The sequence below is a fragment of the Homo sapiens genome, chromosome 10 (genome assembly GCF_000001405.40).
Source record: "Homo sapiens chromosome 10, GRCh38.p14 Primary Assembly".
Lineage (NCBI taxonomy): Eukaryota > Metazoa > Chordata > Mammalia > Primates > Hominidae > Homo > Homo sapiens.
The window spans coordinates 66071975-66092356 of record NC_000010.11 but is presented as its reverse complement, the minus strand read 5'-3'; the positions used below and the strand labels follow the sequence as shown (position 1 = coordinate 66092356).

Genomic DNA, 20382 nt, shown 5'->3' with positions numbered 1-20382 from the left:
AGAAGAATCATGATATGACATGTTTTAAAGGAGTCTTTCTGAATGCTGTGTTGAAAATAGTCTGAGAAGTGATTCAGGAAGAAGCAGAAAGTTAAAAACCATTGCTATTATTTTGGTGAAAAATGGTGGAGACAGAGACCAGGATTTTAGAAATGGGGAGGTTGAACGTTGTTGATTGTGTATATATGGTGAGAGGTAAAACTAACTAAATTTGCTAAAAGATTGGATATTGGGAATGAGAGAGACAGGAGTCAGGGACAACTCAAGGTTTTGGCTTCAGAACTGGGAAGATGGGCTTACTATTTATATTGATACAGAGGAGACTGAATTGAGCAGTCTGGAGATGGTGAAAGAGCAGAAATTAATTTTGACTGTGACTAGACTAAAAGTCAGTTGAAAAACCAAGCAAAGATGTCAGCTAGACTGGAAATTATCTTATATGCATAGCTTTATATTATTATTTTGCAACCTTCTAAACTTACAGTGAAGTTTTATGTATTACTTGGTGACCATTTTTTTTTCCTCAAGGAATTGGCTTTAGGTCTGTTTTCCTTCAAATTTCAGACTTCATCCCCCAACAAATCTCCTCTTTTCTGACATACTTGTTCTCTTGAATAGCACCTTTTTAGTAATGCCACCACTAACCACTGACTTAAAACTGTGACTCCATTTCCAACTCTCTTATAACCTCTTTCCATTTTTTCTTTACTTTTTTCCATAACATTACCTTCACTCTCTGATGTATTACATATTTGCTTGTTTGTTTAGTCTCCCTATTAGATAGCAAATTCAATGAAGGCAACAGTTTTAATGTTCTTTTTTTTCCCATGATGTATTCCCCCACACTTAGAACAGTGTCTGGCTAGTAAATGTGCTTTAAATATTTATTGAGTCAATAAATAAACAGTGTTAACCATATATGTGCTTTGGGAAAAGAGACCTGTGCAGAAAATTTGGGGGTGGTGGGGTTGTTTCAGATACAGCACTTGAATCCAACCAATTATAATGTAGCTACAGAATAAATAGGGTAGCTCCTATATTTCCAAAATAGTATTTTAGTAGATAATTACTTAGACAATGGGCATTTGGAAAAATGTTGAGGCTAAAGTACTCAGGTGATTCTTTCTCTTTGTAGGTTTAAAGGTGTTTGTGGTAGACATCTGGCTAGCAAGTATGTCTCTGCTTTTTCTGCCTTAAATTGTCATCATTGAAAAAGTCCTATTTCATTTATGTTGAAAATTGAACATGTATACATATTGTTGAATTATTAGTCCCTGGTTAACAAAAATATACTTACATCTTTTCCTACTAAAGACAATAAGTGTGTAGTAATAGGTAAGGTAGCAGAAAAAGAAGCCAAATGCAACACCTTCTTTTACGTGCTTTCTAATATTCTAAAAATTACCTTTGTACGGTGAAAGTACCATAACCGAAATAGTATTTTTATATTCATATTTTTAATCAGTGAGTAACTTCTAACTTACATTTATTTTTTAGAAATGTGAACATGTATTTCTAATATATAAGTTGTTTAGGCTATATAGCACTCTAAACATCTAAAGCTTGGCTAAAATCCCATGTAAATATGAACAGACATATAATAGAAGCATTTCCTTGAGTGTAAAGTCATCAGCTATGTAATAGTCATGTACTTGTAAGAAACAGAGCTTTTAGAAAAAGTCAGCCTCCAAACATGTCTCTTCGTTTCTGATGCTAAGACCATTTTAAAGGAGAGCACAATTTCTGGAGCTAGACTCCTATGTTTGAATCAGACTTTGCCACTTACTAACTGCTGTCATTGAGCAAGTTACTGAACATTTCTGTGTTTTGCTTACTTATTTTTAAAATGGACATACATCATAGGGTTATTGTGAGGCTTCTAGGAGTTAATATTTATAAGGAATGATGTATCATTAAGTGATAAAAAATATCTGTCATCATCATAATCATTACCACCACCACCACTATCACGGTTGTCATCATTATTTGTTGAGTGGATTCACATTTATGACATCTCTGCTATTTTTGCAGCTTGGCAACATTCACCTTGCTAATTAGTTCTCTTCAGATTTTTCAGAAGGGTTTCTGGGGAGAGCCAGCCTGATTGGCCAAGCTAAATAAATTTCCTCCTATGTACAAAGTCCTTTACATGGGATTCTTTCATGAATTTCTAGTTAATTTATAGATGGGTAGCTCTTGAGCCACATGCCTACCCTGGTCCAGTTTCAAACTGCAGCTCAGAAGAAAAGAAGTGCTGTGTTGTCAGGGCTGTTATCACACCAGATGCCTAAATCCGTTTGCTTGCAATTATGTAGTCACGAATGTAGCATTAGATTCATGTTGTTCTTTGAAATGATGAAATTAGAAACTACTGTTACTAAAATTTCCTAAAATAATATAAAATGGTGTTATAAGGAAAAAGGATTTCATTTTCAAATATAGTTTCTAAAAATATGCAGAACTCGCTTGGTTTTGTTTGCTATTGTTTTTGTAAGAAGCACCAAGAGTGCCTGGGTCTTAGGGTCACCATCCCTAAGATTAATCTTGGCTCTTTTTATTAGTGACAGTATGACATTTAGTAATATATATATATATATTTCTCTGAGATACTGGTTCCTTATATTTCAACTCAGAGAATACCTACCTTGTAATATTATAATTAGAAATAATGCATATAAAGGACCTTGTGTAGTGATAAAAACAAAGTAGATGCCTAACACATGGTCTGTTCTATTAAAATATAGTGTTTATAAAGAACAGTAACTTCAAATCATAAGGGATTCATATTGTGCAGTGAATTAAATATAAGTTACCTAAGGTAAAGGCGAACCAGAGTAGATTTAAAAAAACAGTTTATGTTTTAATTTGCAGGGAGGGAATAGAAAAAAAGGCACAAGGAATAGGAATAAACAAAAGTATATAGAAGGAAGGAAGAAAGGAAGGAAGGAAGGGAGTAAGGAAGGAAAGAAGGAAGGATGGAAGGAAGGAAGGGAGCAAAGGAAGGGAGGGAGAAAGAAAGAGAGGAGAGGTTTGGGTTGGGGCAGGAAGACTCTCTATTTACCAAGAGTAATAGTGTGCAATGAACTGAAGAATATGACTAATGCAATCCTCAGCTCCTGAGTTCCAGCAACATAAACAACAACAACAAAGGGCCCTATATGTACTAGATAAAAAGGAGTAAATATTTATTTTTGTGACTTTAGGATGGTAAAGGATGTTCCAAATGTGATACCAAAGACCAAAAACAAAAGAAAAGGGGCGCGAACTTTACTGCTGAGAATACAAAATAAAAAAGGTAAACCCAAGCAAACAAAACACAAAATAAAGACAAACATCCATTTGAGGAGATAATAATCACAAATTATATAAGAAAATGTTTATATATTCATAGAAATAGATTTTCACAAATTAATAAGAAGAAATGACTCCTCACCCCACTTTCCACGCCTGGCCAACAGAAAACTGGGCATAGGCCCTATTACAAGGTATTCATAAAGAATACATGTACATTTATAGTAAGTATGTTAATTGTTGTCCCATCTCATCAGAGATTACAAAAATGCAAATGAAAACAACAATGAAATACTATATTCGGATAACATTTGAAGAAGACATGAAAAGATTGTTAATATCCATTGTCAGAAAGTTTTTATGGAAAATTGATACTCAAACACTTTGTGGAGATACCAATTAGGGTAAGCTGTCTGCAGGAAAACTGGGAAGTAAGCATTGAAAACCTTTATAAAAGTGCATTCTCTTTGTCTTCTAGAATGTTTGCCCAGATACATTTGGAGAACTGCAGAAAGATATTCACCACTCAGTATACACACACACACACACACACACACACACACACACACACACACACACAAAACACCTACCTATCTACATAAATATGAAACAACTGATAACCATTAATAACATGTAGATAAATGATACCAGATCTAAATCATGAAATAAGAGTTATAAAATGTGACAAATCTATATTATACAGACACTGGTCTACTTTATAATGTTAAAAAATAAGGAACAAAACAGTATACATAATATGATCTCATTTTGCAATATAATTTGTAAAATAATGACACATATATATGTAGCCTACAAGAATAGTCTTAAAATATTGCTTTCAAAATCTTTGGTATATGAAACAATATTTTATGAAAATAAAGGTATTCTGTATGAAAGTACAGAGGGAAAAAGAAGCCTACCATACTACTGAGAGTTTGTGCATAATTTTATAGACCAAAATGTTTCAAATAAACATAAGGAAAAAATAGCTATCTATAAGTTTACTATCTAGAATGAGCCGTGGTTGTTAATCCATTTGATTTTCTTAATCTTTAAAAAGTTACATTAATAGAAAGTATATATACTCTTACTGAATATTTAATGAAGCATACATTATTAAAGCCCACTGTAAGACGAAATTTTTGTTCTCTATCTTTTGATAGAGGCTACTAATTCTTGTCTCAAACTGGCTAAATATTCTTTCATTTCCAAACAGTAGCACTACCTCTAGACTAAGTCTAATGCCCTGAAGTTCAGATACAAACTAATATGCCAGTGGGATTGATGTCAAAGTGATAGAATTGCAGAATAGATTTTAGTGACAATTTTTCAGGCTAGTTCTAATTGATTGAGTAGAATTCCACCACTGCAGTTCTGTTGCTGATGATTATTGTTAAAAATGACTGAAAACAAAAGAGTCAACCAAGCACTCCAGAGATCACTGGCTCCGTAAACTGGTTAGCTTACATGAGGGTCAGTCTGAGCCAAAATGTCCACTGGTCCTTAGCTAAAATGTCAGTGTAGGGAGGAGTTTCTCTACCGTGTACTGTTGACATTTTGGACCAGACAATTCTTTGTTGTAGTAGCTGCCCTGTGCATTGTAGGGTGTTTAGCAGCATCTCTGGTCTCTACCCAGTAGATGCCAATGAAGCACCATCATTGTCTGGGGAAACAGCCAAAGTTTGTTGTCTCGCGATAAGAGGAACAAAGATGCTGACACATACACACGGAGTGGGTTTAAGAGCGGAAAGTTTAATAGGCAAAAGAAAGAAGAGAGAGCTTCCTCATGCAGAGAAAGGGGGTCCCCAAGTATGTTTCTGGGTTTGGGGTGAGATGAGGTCCACTTTATAGAGGGGCTTGAGGAGATGGTGTTTGATTTAAATTGGGCCCAGGGGATTGGTTTGACCAGGTGTGCTATTTACATAGCCCACAAATCTTTTATTATGTAGATAAGGTTTTACCTGGCTGGTGCCATGACACCTGCACATGTGGCGACAAGGAAAAGGAAGAAGGAATCACCATGTTGGATGTACCTAGCTTCCAGGTACAGCTGATGCCATTTATCTATGCAAATTTCCATCTTGCTTATCTATGCTTGTAACTTGATTTTTCAGGCTGCTTTTTATTAGAAAAGAAATGATTTGGGGGCTGCTTTTTATTAAAAGAAAATTCTACCAAGAACTCTTTCACCCTCACTAACTGCCTAAATAATTTCTTACTACTCTATCACCAGTAGCGCACACCTCTCACATCACTTGTGACTAACAATAATCTTCCAAGAGATTGCCAAGTAACAATGAGGTTGTGATTGCGGAGTCGGGGAGAGGTAAAATCAACCAAAGGAACAGCCATTCTTTCTTAGGAAAGATCGTTCTTTTCTACTGAGTCCTTCCTAATTTTGAGGTTAAAATATTCTTTTTAAGAAAAGAATAGTGATAGTGGATGGTAAGTTTTTTGTGGTAATTTTTTCTTCCTTTTTAAATTTTTTGTTTTAAACGTGTGTGTTTTATTGCCCTTACTTGGTAAAATAAAATAATTTGCAAACATATGTTTATTCTGCTACTTTTTAAAAAAAATTCGCATGCCCATGAAAGCCCATGCTTAAGAACCTTTGGCAAAAACCATGGTCTCTCATCTTTTACTTTGAAAATGTTTCCAATTACTATAGATGTGACTTGTCTGAGAGCCATTTGTGTTGAGTCTGCAGTAAAACTGGAATATATCTTCCTGAAAGATTCCTCCAAACACCCTAGAGTTTTACCTTTGAAAGCTTAACTAATTGAAGCCTTACTTTTAATTTCCTTTTGTGCTCATTTATAGACATGGCTTCATCTATATCCTGTCTCAGTACTAAGATAGGCTCGTGTGTCAGCTGCTGCCTCTTGAGCAGAGGGTCTTATTTCTAGTGCCTGAATGGAATTTTACTTGGAAAAGCCTTGTCTATTGCTATGGGCCTTTCTAATCCAGATGTTCCCCCTCCAAATTCACATTCAGAAGACAAGAAGAATTATGTTTTGTTTATTTAATGTTGGTGTGTGTTCTGACCAGATGGATTTAGCTTGTACAAACTGATTGTATTGTTAGTGCTACTGATGTAGGATAGGTGTTACCATCAACCCTGTGTTTTGATTCTTGCAGCAGCAAAGGGGTGTTTTACATGTTTTGAATCTTAGGCAGTGATTGTGCCATATTTTAACATAAATTATGGTACTACATAAAAAGGGATTGAATTACTTCCATTGCATATAGAAGGAAGATTCCTTTAATTGAGATCTGACAATGTAACACAGAAGTATATTTCAAAACAATTAAGCCTCATGATTTTGTTTGGAGAATTACGAATGCTGTAGGCACTGTAATCAGAAGAATAAATATAAAAAATGATCTGGCAGTTTTTAGCACTTAAAACTTAGATTCTTTGAGAATTTTTTGAATTGTCAGAATAACATGCCAACATTGTGACTCTCTGGTGACATTCTCCCATATTCTCTTTCATTTATTTTTTTCTTGATTATGAAAGAAAAATAAATCAAAAAAGAAACTAGAAAAAATAATACTATTCTATATATAAGAAAATATTCAAAATCTTGCACATTAACTTATTATACAGACAAGATGTAATCTATTACAGTTGCATGTGAATTGTACTTTGAGAATTTCTGTGGTCCAGGTGATTGAATGAAAACTGGTTAAATTATACCAACAAACACCAATTCTCTTTCTACCTCAGTGCCTTCTCAATTGTGTCATGTTTCCTCCTCCTATCACTTTATCCATCTTCTCTTCCTTGTTTATTTTCCTTAGTGAATCATGTATCACTAACATGAGCATTTTATTAATAATCCTGAATGAAAATATATTGTTTCAAAATGAATATATTATTTCATTCTTCTTCTACAAATCTTTTAAACTCTCTTTTTTTATCATTTTGAAATATTCTAAGGCTCAATCTTGGAATCTAATAGAGACAAGGGATTCTTTGCAAGCTCTTCTATCTTAATTCTTCACATATTGCCTTACTTTGTGAATTCTCATGAGCAGCTCAAGGAGGGCTTTGTCACTTTCTGCTGGAAGAATGCTTGATGATTCTTATCTTGTCAGATGAGTCCAGAAGGTCTTTGTTCCTGGGACCAGTTCCTAATTAGTGTCCTAGTGTTCTCCTATCCTATAAGATCTCAAGTTTGTTACATATCACCTTAAATAAAAAAATACACAAATAAATATATAAATACATAGATAGATGATAGATATATAACATTGAAACGTGCCATTGAAACTTCTATTTTACAAATTGACCCGAACAATTTTATTTTTTGATTATTGTGTCCCACCTCTGGGGAAATAATTCATAACTCACTTGGGGATTTATTAAATGAATCTTTAGCTGAAGGAGGCTTAGAGAAAATAGAAAAATTCAGTGTGTATACAGATAAAACATTTTCAACTAATCAAGATGAGTCCTTTTTCTAAGAATTTTTTTTCTAATTCCAAAAATTCTCTTTAGAAAAAACATTATTTAGTAAACATCTATTTTAGGTACTGCCTACATTTTTGTAAGTAATCTAGAATTTTAGAAATCATCTTCAATTTCTGGTAGATTTCAAGGTATTACAAATTGCTTGAAGTTCCAAAACTAATACCACTGTAATGGAAGACCCATTCTCTTTTTTTTTAGTTTTTAATTTTTGTGGATACATGATAGGTGTATGTATTTATGGAGTACATGAATTATTTTGATAATGGCATGCAACAGAATAGTCAAATATTTTGTGGTGCTTTAAGTACTTTTCTGTAGCATTCTGATGGGCCATACTTTCAGAGCCTGCAGAACTACATTTTGAAAGTTTGGTCTCTTCTGCAAACTCACTATCATTTCTTTTTTTCTTTCCTTTTCTTTTTTTCTTTTTCTTTTTTTTTCTTTTTTTTTTTTGAGATGAAGTTTCGCTGTTGTTACCCATGCTGGAGTGCAATGGCCCAATCTTGGCTCACCGCAACCTCTGCCTACTGGGTTCAAGTGATTCTCCTGTCTCAGCCTCCCGAATAGCTAGGATTACAGGCATGCACCACCACACCTGGCTAATTTTGTATTTTTAGTAGAGATGGGGTTTCTCCATGTTGGTCAGGCTGGTCTCGAATTCCCAACCTTAGGTAATCCACCTGCCTCGGCCTCCCAAAGTGCTGGGATTACAGGCATGAGCCACCACACCCAGCCAACTCACTATCATTTCTAATGTAAATCACTTGGAGAAGTGAGTGCTCAGAAAGCCATAATAAGAAAACCCTGGCCTCTGTAGGACTTGGCTACCTATACTTATATTTGGGACACAATATCCTGTTTGTGTACCTGGGTGATCAGTAATGGATATACGATGGTTTCCACAATACATAGGATGGGTCATAACTAGCGTAGAAGAATAAGCCAGACCTTAGTTGCCTCTTTACCAAGACCATATCACTCTGCATCTGTCTGCCTTTCAAAATCTTTAATATCTTGTCTAATATTTTTATATATAGTCCAGGCTTATGCTAGCTGATCAAAGATAGTTAAGAGAAATTTTATTTTTTCATAGGCAAGATGTTAGGTAGAAAGTGTGTGGCGGTCCTTTGACCCTCACGTGAAACCAAGGAGGTTGTGGCAATGATAATTAGGAAGAAATACTCAAGTGGGAGGTGAATCTGGAGAAGACTAGCATAGGCTGCTTGGTCCAGTTGCGTTACCCCTGTGGAGTTTGTCTTAGCAAGAATATTTTATTGAGACATCAGGATCCATTTAAACATCCTAAATTACAAGTTGCATGTTATTTAATGATGTTATTCTAGTATTAAGATTGGGTAGAGCTTTAATTGACAAGCTATGTGGTTATCCAAAATTAGGTGAGTTTTTATAGCATCTCAGTTTATAAGCTATTAATAACATTCAAATTGGCTTTGGTGAGTATCTGTGATCATAGGATAATGTTTTCTTGTTTACTTAAGCCCTCACTTCTTTTTACTCCTCACTAAGAAGATCTCTAGCAAAGAGAAAAAAAAATAGTTTTAGACTTTCCTTTAGGGAAGGGACTCTTTTTCTTCAGGAAAATATGCTGCACCGTGTTGGGAGATGAGACTCTGATGGATGAATATATATATGACAATACTTAAAAAGTGTGCTTAGAAAATATGCAGTATTTTGCTGCAGGAGAACACACAGGAAAGATGAGAAAAGGACAGATGGGGCCCATCTAAGAAGACAGGATGCCAATGACTGAAAATGGTAGCCACCATGAAGTAAATTATTCTGTATTTGCTGACATACATATGACAATTCAGGTGCATATTTTACATTGTTTTTAATTTTTTATTTTGAAGTAATTTTATAATTACAGAAAGCTGAAAAAAGTACAGAGATCCTATAGGCCTTTCACCTAATTTCCCCTAATGTTAACAACTTGCATACCCAGGGTTCATTTGTCAAAATGAAGAAATGACCATTGGTATTATACTACTAATTAAACCACAGATTTTATTCAAATTTCATCAATTTTTCCACCTATATTCTTTTTCTGTTCTAGGATTCAACATTTTATTTAGTTGTTACATCTCCTAGTCCCCTCTAGAGTATGGTATTTCCTGAATCTTCCCTTATGTTTCATGATCTTGATATTTTTGAAGAATACAGATGAAGTATTTTATAGAATCTCATATAATTTGAATTTGTCTTATGTTTTCCTCATTATTTTAAGGTTATGCATTTTTGGAGGAAATATCACAAAACTAACATGTCCTTCTCAGTCCATCAAATCAGGAGGTTCAAGATATTAATAGATCTTATTTCTGGTGATGTTGGTTTTTGTCATTTGGTGTTGGTTGCTGGCTTTTTCCACTGAAAAACTAAGTTTTTTTTTTTTCTTTGTAGTTAATATCTTGGGTGCAGTGCCAGTTTTTATGTTTATTTTTATTTTTATTTTTTTGCCAGAGTTTTGCTCTGTTGCCCAGGCTGGAGTGCAATAGCGAGATCTTGGCTCACTGCCACCTCAGCCTCCCGGGTTCAAGCGATTCTCCTGCCTCAGCCTCCAGAGTAGCTGGGATTACAGGCACCCACCACCATGCCCAGCTAATTTTTTGTATTTTTAGTAGAGATGGGGTTTCACCATGCTGGTCAGGCTGATCTCGAATTCCTGACCTCAAGTGATCCGCCCACCGCAGCCTCCCAAAGTGCTGGGATTACAGGCGTGAGCCACTGCACCCAGCCAAAGTGCAGTGCTTTAAGACTATTCAATTTTGTTCCTTCTCAAATGTTCACCTATAAATTTTAATCTCCATCAATGAACCTTGCCAAAGAATAATTACTGTGGTGTTTGCCTAACCCATGATTTTCTACTTTGCTCACTTCTTCTATATTTATTAGTTGGAGTTTTAAGGAAGAGCTGTCCCTTCTCCCACATTTAGTTATTCATTCAATTATTTATTTATATCACTATGAACTCATGGATATTTATTGTAGTCTATGGAGTTTAACCTTATTTCACTGACCAAATTGTCCAACCTTTGATATAGAAAGTTTTTTTTGTGTTTTTTTGGTATTGAAAGTTTTTTTCTTTTTTTAAATTTTACTTTTTTCCTATTTCATGATTATTATTACAGATGGGGTCTTGCTATGTTGGCCAGTCTGGTCTTGAACTCCTGGCTTCAAGCAGTCCCCCTGCCTTAGCCCCTGAAAGTATTGGAATTACAGCCATGAGCCACCAGGCCTGGACATCCTGTTTCTTTTTAACAGGTCCTTCTTTTTTGAGCAATTACTTACTTTTTGCCACCATAGGATGATTCATACTCAACTAATTTGTCAACTCTTCTAGCTGAATTCTACTTGCCAGTGTCAGGTGGCATCTACCCAAGGCAAGCAAACACTTACATCATATCTCTTTCAGAAGGCGCTTATTGCCCTAGATCTCAGGTTCATTGGTTGACTTCTGACTTCTGACCAAGAAAGCCTTAAATTTCTCCTTGTCTTGATGGGATTCCTTCTGAGTACAGGCCCCTGGCCTCCCTTTTCTTAAAGCATCTACTTTAGAGAACTTCCCATTGTAAATTCTTTCTCTGTCCCTTTGTGATGTACATCTTGTCCCAGTTTCTTGCCAATTTAACAAAATATAATATCTTTCTTAAGCATCTGTGAACCATCTCTGAAATGTAGTTATCAAGAAAGGTAAAGCCTCTATTTCCTACTCTCTGTAGGAGGGTAGAAGCCTATTCAGTAAGTACCATTTAGCAAACACAGATGGTCTAATGACATTGACCATCTCCACTAATGTCCTCCAGTACTTTTCTACTAGCTCACCCCAGTGCTTAAAAACTCTCCTTCACTTCGCTTCAGCAGAGTTGAGTTCCATCTCTGCCTCCATTGCAGCAGTATTGAATAAAATTTTCCTTGGCTGTTTAACTCAGTCAGTGAAATTATTATTTGACAACTATGATTGGCTTTAGGAAAAGTCATGGACTTGCAGAGTTTTGGCTTTGGTTGTTGATGTAAATGTGGAAGCGATACTTTTTTACCCATATTCTACATCTTTAAGTAAAAATCAGAGATATTGCAATGTTAAGTCATTTTACTTTGTAAAATTCTCATGTTGTCCCTAAACATTTTCACAAACCTTCACATGTACACAAATGACATATATAAGTGATTTTGAAGAATTTTACAATGTTGGGTTACTATAATGGAGTAAGAAGGGAATAGTTATACAAGATCACTCTCTTGTATATATATAAGAGTGATTTTGAAGAATTTTACAATGTTGGGTTACTATAATGGAGTAAGAAGGGAATAGTTATACAAGATCACTCTCAAATGAATGCAGTAGATCGAGATCAGAAATGCAGAGAAGAAAAGTGGCCTATGGGAATATAAGCCCTCAGTAATTTATGAAGTTCTTGAGTAAACTTGAGACTCTCAAAGAATGTATGAGAAGAAGCATGACTGTTTTATTTATATTTCAGAATATGGAAACTTCTGCTAACTTTGGGTTTAGGTCATAAACTAAACTGACTTCAAGCGATCCGAATCATGAATGATTACCCAGTAATGGAGTCAGAAAGAAATAATAGTAGTATATTACTCAAATTGATATAAACTATTTTATTTTACCTTTTTAAAAACCTAGTAAATAGGCAATAGATTAATATTATGTGAAATATAACAGCTTATTTTTCTTTGTGCATTACATAATCTATATTCAGTTGTTAATAATATAATGAGAATAGATTTTATATTTTCTTTGCCACGACTGTGTCACTACAGGTGTTGCATCTGGTTTTCAATGGAAGGAGCTATAATTAGCATATTTATATGGATCATTAGTCTTGGTCATATTGAATCATAATAATATAGACATATGTAAGCATAATTTATGGACAAGCAAATGCCATATTTAGAATTCTATACAATATTCCTCAAATTGTTATTTTATCAAGAAAATTGTTGTTAGAAAGATAGAATGAAATTTTCAAATTTCCATAAACAATTTGGAGGGAAATCTGGTAATTATATTCAATTACACATTTAATACATACATAGTAATAAAATTATATTCATGCAAAAATATGATTAAAAGAAAATACATATAAAACTAGGAGGTATATAATTCTTTCTCAAATCTTACTTTAGTTGTTATACTATTCATATAATTTGTCATTATAAAATTCATATAATAAGATTTAACTTTTTTAAAAGTCACTAGAATTGGTTTTCTAATTGTATTATATGCATCTTTACCTTACCAACCAAAATGTTCTAAATACGTCTTTTTCTGCACAGGGATCTTTTAAACTGTTTGAGAGCAGAAATGGTGCCATCCAACTCTACTTTACAGTAGACATCAATAAATGCTGGGTGATGATGCTGTGGATGACTCATTGTCAGTATTGTGACCAAATATAATTGTACTATGCTATAATACAATAATAGGATGAAGGTGTCCTGATATAAGCAGGAAAGCTTATTTATAACTTGAAGGGCCTCATTATCTGACTGAGTAGTCTGTCTCTTTTTTGATAGATTTTCTTTTCCATCTTTGTGGTCAGACTAATACACCTTCTGTCTACTTCCAATTTACTGTAAACTGGGTCATGGAATTCAGGTAACCAAACTTATTCAAATTATAAGCAAAGTATAAGTTTCTGGGCACTGAATAGCATCTTAAAGGCATTCTTGTGAATAAAATAGACTTTTAGAGAGCATTGTTTGATTTCCTCACAGCCTTTATAATATTTATTTATTGAACTGTTTGAGGATTTCTATATTGTCAGTTTTGGCAGCATCAAAAGACAAAAAGTATATCAGCATTCTGGAACGAGGAACCAAAGAAAACACAATGCAATTAAATAAATTAAATTTAGTGTAAATCTTTGCAATATTTATATTTAAAAATAAAAATACAGGACAGTTTTGATATGGCTTAGTTATAGTTTATTTTTGTAATGGGCATTTCAGTTGAGTGTTAAGTATGAGTAAATAATTTACATGAATGTTACAAAATTTCTATTACAACTTTGGTCTTTGTAGAGTGCGAATATAGTGTCCTGAACAAAGACCATTATTGTTTTCTTGACTGGTCAGAATTCATCTAGAATTTGCAATTCTGTCTGGAAGTCATTTTATGAAAGAGACGATGATATACTGAAATATCCCCAAAGGAAAACCTTGATTCTGATCTTCTGGATAACAAGTTCTTGAAGTGTCTGGAATTGAAGAGTTCTACAGAAAAGGAATAGGTGAAGGAATGAATGAGAGAATGGGAAGATGACAGTTAATAGCATCTGATGATTATTTTTCACATAACTGCAAGATCATCTTGTGGAAAATAGATTACATATACTCCTTTAGGTTCTAGAGGTCTGAATTCAGGCTAATATGTAGACATAGAGAGGAAAGATAAAGATTTTCTAATAACTACCTCTGTCTAAAAATGTAATTCAGTGCCTCAGAAGGAAGTACTTGCCTGTTGTTGGAAGACAAAAGTAAGATATCAAGTGGAAAAAGGGTTAACAGCTCAAGTAGAATCTCCTCAGTGATGAGGTCACTGAAGTCCTGGGGTTGGTCCTCACTGTTGGGAATAGAAACTCTTTAGTGTTGATGCCCCTAAACAAATCAACCAGGCTTTTAAAGATTGACTCTTGCTAAACAAATTTACCAACCCTTCAATATATAATTATATATACATATAATTTTAGAGGAAAGAGTATAAAGGCTTGGATCTTCACCTTCTGGATAAAATATATATTGCAATAACTATATGGCCGTGCTAGGATCACATCTGTCAAAAGGATGAGGATATTCACGTCAGCTTTCTTGATACCTGCTCACATCAGCATCTTGTTTTAGGGGCTCCATACAGATCACCACCTTTGAAACAACTTTTCTTTTTGGAGAAAGGTTTATGCTACAGCCACACTTAAGTGTAAATTTCTGTCATTATGATACATGCCAAGATCCTGAATGAAATTTATCTATGTGAAGATTACTTCTGGAGGTCATGAGTCTCATTTATTATGTTTTAATTTTTATTGGTAAAATGTGCATGGACTGCTTTATTTCTCAGGCCCAGAGAATCCAGCATTGGACTTTCAGGAAAGTCCGAAAAGTGGTGAAAGCATTATTGGTCACAAATGTTATAGATGGAATGATATTTTGAAATAAGATATTATATATCCTGTAAGATCTCTCATGCCTCCACAAAAAATTGTAGAAAATGTTATTTGTGTTTCATTTTTTATTGTGAAAAATTAAATGCACAGAAATGTTTAATCACTAGTACAATACAGACTCATATTCCCATTACCTAGAAATAACAGTTTAACCATAGTTCCAGAGCCATATTTGGGTTTTTCTTAAACTACATCAAAGTAATTTGAAACATCATAGCATTTTATATCTAAATATTTCAGCAGGAATATCCCAAAATAATGAACATTCTCTTATATAACCACAATATGATCACAACACTGAACAAAATTAACAATCACTTCTTAATTTTCCTTAATACTCAGTTTATACACAGATTCCTTCGTCCATCTCCCAAATGCCCTTTACAACCTTTATTTATCTCTAGAACAAGGAGAGAAACTAGATTCACAGATAAAATATAACTATTTCTTATGAAAAAGAAATAAAACATTGGAGAGGGTTTCATTATAGGAGATCTGCAAATGTTCCCTAAGGAACTCATTTCCATGATTGTGACAAATGGACATTAATATCTACCTCATCATATTATTATTTAAATGGCATAATTTTTTCAAAAGTGCTCAATAGAGTGACTGGCATACTGGAAGTGTGAACAAATGTCAATCACTATCATTATTATATTTAAGACATAGATAATCAGTCAAATATACCTGATAATTTACTCTGTTTCGACCCAGTCCCTGAAGCCTATAAAGTTTTATAATAAAATGAGACAGTTTTATAACAGTGAAAGTAACCCACTGGGTGTTAAGAGGGGTGTTTTTTGATGGATGAGGAAACTGAGAGCTAATTAAAGCAAATATATATTTTAAGTCTGATTTAGAGGTCTATACATAAAAATGTAGAAATGTATACCACTTCTTAAAGTCCAACTCCAATTCCTAAATGTTAATTTTAAAATATTACAGAAAATTGCTCTTAATGAATTCTCAGGAATATATTTGAGATCACAATTTAGTATGCTTAGGATACCAATGCATAAATCTTGCTTAAATAAATTTGTTCTCAAAATTTTAATTAGGTTGAATTTTTGCCAAAAGCACTTTATATTTTCTAAAATTCCATCAAAGTGTTCTATGCTATTTATACTTTTGATGTATTAAAAATACATCTATTTCCCAAATGCCTCTAGGCTTATTTTAAGAAAACACGTACATGTCACTATTAAATTTGAGACACGCTGAAGGTAAGAACATGAGTTATCATTAGAGAACTATTTTTCCAATATGTATATATACCATGTGTATATTTTTAAAGTTTATCAAACATTTTATTTTGAATGTTGAGTTCTAGCTACCCATTCATATGAGTGATATGAATTAATTAGAAATTCTCTAATATTTATAAAATTAAAAAAATCATAATTGTGGATTATTTATTAACAAAATAATATTTCTATGTTTCATCCAGTTTCATGGATAGAGAAATTAGCAAAGTTATATGATTTACCTAAGAATTTAATTTCCATGAAAAAAAGTTATAGTTAAGGAAAGCCAAAAAAAAAATTGTGGAAAGGGAAAGCTACTAATGAAGACACATGGACTGAAACATCACATCTGTCACTAGCCAGCTGGAGAGTTCTTTTAAGTCATTTCCCCTTTCTGGGACAATTTTCTTATCTGCAAAATAAGTGATGTGGATTCTGGGGCTTCTGAGAATAAGATAATTATAATGGCGCTATATTTCTATGGCATTTATTGCTTATGGAAAGCACTTACTCAAAATATTTCATTTGGTTCTTGCCTAGGCTCTGTGAGGTAGGCTACATGAATATTTTAGTTATCCTTCTTTTCCATTTTGTGGAAAGTCTTGGAGGCCAAGATGATACATTTATATACATTATTTATATATGCACCATTTACTGAGTCCCTAATATATTCCAGGTACAATTGTTTATAGTCATAACTAATTCTCACACAACTCCTATAAATTTATTATCATTTAACATATGAAACTGGGGTTTAGGATTGTTAATTGCTGTATAACTAATACTTGGCCAAAGTGGAATTTGAATGGTGGTCTGTATGACAACAATTTCTGCATTTTTCCTATTATGTCACTTTTTTCCTTTCTTTTCCTTTTGTCTCTTTTAAGGGGTAATTATAGTCATTTAAATTTTTTAAGCAGATAAATAATGTAAGCATATCAATATTTGATGCAGTAGTAATGAGCATAGTACAATTAATAAGCAGATATGAAGATGAAAAACGATCAATTGTGCTATTAATACAGTCTTGGAGGAATAATAAGGACCTGAGTTTGAAAAATACTAGGAAAAGTGCATAAGAGAAATGAATCTAAGATCTGTGTAGAGGCAAAAGCTTGGCATTTGTGTAAATGTGGTTGACAATGAAAATACAAGATCAGTGATATAAAATTTTGAGCTCAAAAGTCTTGAGTTTTTTTTAGCTCTTGAGTATTTCTGTTAACAATCACAAACAAACATTTATCATGCAATATGTTCCTACTTTAAGAGGACTTATTTTCTAGGGGAAGGAGAAAAAAATACATCTAAAAAGTACAAATGAAAAATTATGTGTAATGTCATAATTATTATTCTGAAAGATGATATTGTTTTCAACAACATCTCTAGTAAGTGAGATAAGATAGTTGTGTTCACAAGATTAGACTACAAGAGAGAACAATATGAACATCTAGGGGGAAGAACTGACAACATGTTCTAAAAATTTTGAGAGAATAATTACACACACTTGAAGAATGGAGAAAGGGGCATATACTATATGAGTCTGGCCTGGAAATATGATTAAATTTGGACCAACAAATTGGGGGAAGGGAAGATGAGCAAAAATAATTAATGGGCAATATCTCAAGATATTTACCTGCAGCAACAAATAGCTTAGCTTAGCTTGAGGGTACAGTGTGTTGAAGGAAGTAAGATGGGATGAGATTGAAAAGCTGGTAGAAACAAAGGTTATGATGATCCCTGTGATGTACTAATTCCATTCCTAGATACATACTCAAGAGAAATACACCCATATGTGCACCTAAAGAAAAGTCCAAGAATACTCATTATTTATCATAGCCAAAAACGGAATAGTTTTCAAAATATTGTTTATAGAAAAACATGAATAAATTTATAGAAATATATATATATATATTTGTAGAGTGGAATAATATCTGTATAGAGCAATGAGAATAAACAAAATATAACTACATGCAACAGAATAGATGCATTTCAAGCACTTAAGTGCTGAATACAAAAAGCCAGACACAAGAATTCATGTGCTATTATTCCACACCTTTATAAGATTAAAACATGGGCAAATCTACAGTTTTAGAAATGAAGTTAGTGATTACCCTTAGGAGATAGTGACTAGCAGAAGATAGAAGGAGGCTTCCGAGTGTCTGTAATCTTTTTAAGGTTTCTTGATATGAGTGTAGGTGCATGGATTTGCTCTGTTTGTGAAAATCGTTCCAACTGTACATTTATGATTTAGGCATTTTATATGAATTTTCTATTTTAATCAAACAAATATAATGGTGGTGTTTGAGGAATTGATACCCTTTATTTGATAAGGTGATGTAAAGATAAGGAGATTAGATGAAGGATTGCACAATTCCATCATATTCAGAAAGATTGAATCAAGCAGTAGCAAAGCAAGAAGATTTAAAACAAAGGAGAATATTAAGACCAGAAGACAGCAGGAATGGTAATATTAATATATAGAGGGAAATGGATGTGATAAAGGATAAAATGGACAACTGACAGAATAGGCTAAAGAAAAGAGGATAATTTTCTAAAATATAAAACTTCAAGACTGGAAGGCAGGAAGTATCACTGAGAAACATGAAAATCAAGAGGATAAATGGTTTGGCTGAGTGTGTTTTTCATCCTTCTGTGATGAGGTATTCCTAACAGCAGTGAATGTACTGATCACAGTATTGGAAAGGAGAACAGGACTGAAGAGGTTGTTTGGAAGTAATCTTCATAGCAGTGATGGCTGAAGTCATGAAAGTAGCGTAGCTGACCTATATGTACACTGTAGAAGAACTATATTGGCTAATTAACACATGCATTACCTCACACAGTTATCATCTTTGTGGTGAGAACACTTTACACTCACTCAGCATGTTTCAAGAATACAATTTACTATTCACTGTAGTCACCATGTTGTATAATAGATTTCTTGAACTTATTCCTCCTGTCTAAATGAAATTTTTTATCCTCTGACCAACATCTTCTCAAACCCCCTCCCCCACTACCCCAGCTCCTGGTAACCCCTACTCTATTCTCTCCTTTTGTGATACCGTTTTTAGATTCTGCATATGAGTGAGGTCATGTGGTACTCATCATTCAGTGTCTGGTTATTTCACTTAACATAATTTCCTCCAGATTCCCTGTTGTCACAAATGACAGGATTTCATTCTTTTTTATGGCTGAATAGTATTCCATTATGTATTCCACAAGGTATATACACTTCAGAACATAATGTGGTGCATAGTAAGTACTTACAATTTTATTTCCCAATGTAAAAAAGAAAAGAAAGTAGATGAGTGTGCTAAGGGAGAAGATAATGAAGAAAGTTAAAAGGGTCAGCACAGATTCTTTGGGAGATGCGCGTTTGGCAGATAAGGGGAGATGGAGGACTCTGAGAAGGGGCAGTTGGATGTAAGGGGAAGGCAAAAACCAAGAGAGTGGATCACGAGGTCAGGAGTTCAAGACCAGCCTGTCCAAAATGGTGAAACCCCGTCTCTACTAAATATACAAAAATTAGCTGGGCACAGTAGTGGGCGCCTATAGTCCCAGCTACTTGGGAGGCTGAGGTGGGAGAATTGCTTGAATCTAGGAGGTAGAGGTGGCAGTGAGCTGAGATCATGCCACTGCACTCCAGCCTGGGTGACAGAGCAAGACTCTGCCTTAAAACAAAACAAAACAAAAACAAGAAAATGTTTCAGGCATCACTTGGTCAGCACTTTCAGGAGTTACAAACAAAGTAAGGATAATGAAGACAGAGAAAAACAATAAAAATCTGTGTTCCCTGGTCATAGGAAAGTTTTATAGCAGGTGTTGGCAAATTGTAGTCAACAGGTCAAATCTGGCCTGCTGCCTGCTTTTGTACATGAGCTAAGAATGGCCTTTACATTTTTAAGTGGTTGAAAAAATTCAGAATAGATGTAATCAGATGTGATCAGAATAATATTTGTGGCATGTGAAAATTATGTAAAATTCAAATTTCAATGTCTATAATAAGGTGTTATTGGAACAGAGACACACTGATTTGTTTATGTAGTATTCATGACTGCTCTTGCAATATAACAGAGTAACAACTCTGCCAGTTGAGTAACGGAGTGATATGGTGTGAGCTGCAAAGCATATATCACTATCTTGTCCTTTATAGAAAAATTCT

At 33.9% G+C, this 20382-nt stretch overlaps 1 protein-coding gene and 1 long non-coding RNA gene across 10 annotated transcripts in view; one reads left to right on the top strand and one right to left on the bottom strand.

Annotated features, from left to right (window-relative positions):
- Positions 1-13117, bottom strand: part of CTNNA3-AS1 (CTNNA3 antisense RNA 1) — a 65310-nt gene extending 52193 nt beyond the window's left edge. Inside the window, exon 1 of one of the 2 annotated variants that reach the window (XR_007062172.1) lies at positions 13048-13117. This is a non-coding gene — a long non-coding RNA (CTNNA3 antisense RNA 1). Of the gene's footprint in view, positions 1-7311; positions 7392-13047 lie in introns of those variants that run through there. The other variant, XR_007062171.1, reaches the window with a different exon arrangement.
- CTNNA3 (catenin alpha 3) overlaps positions 1-20382 on the top strand; it is a 1851072-nt gene that overhangs the window by 1671238 nt on the left and 159452 nt on the right. The window lies entirely within an intron of this gene.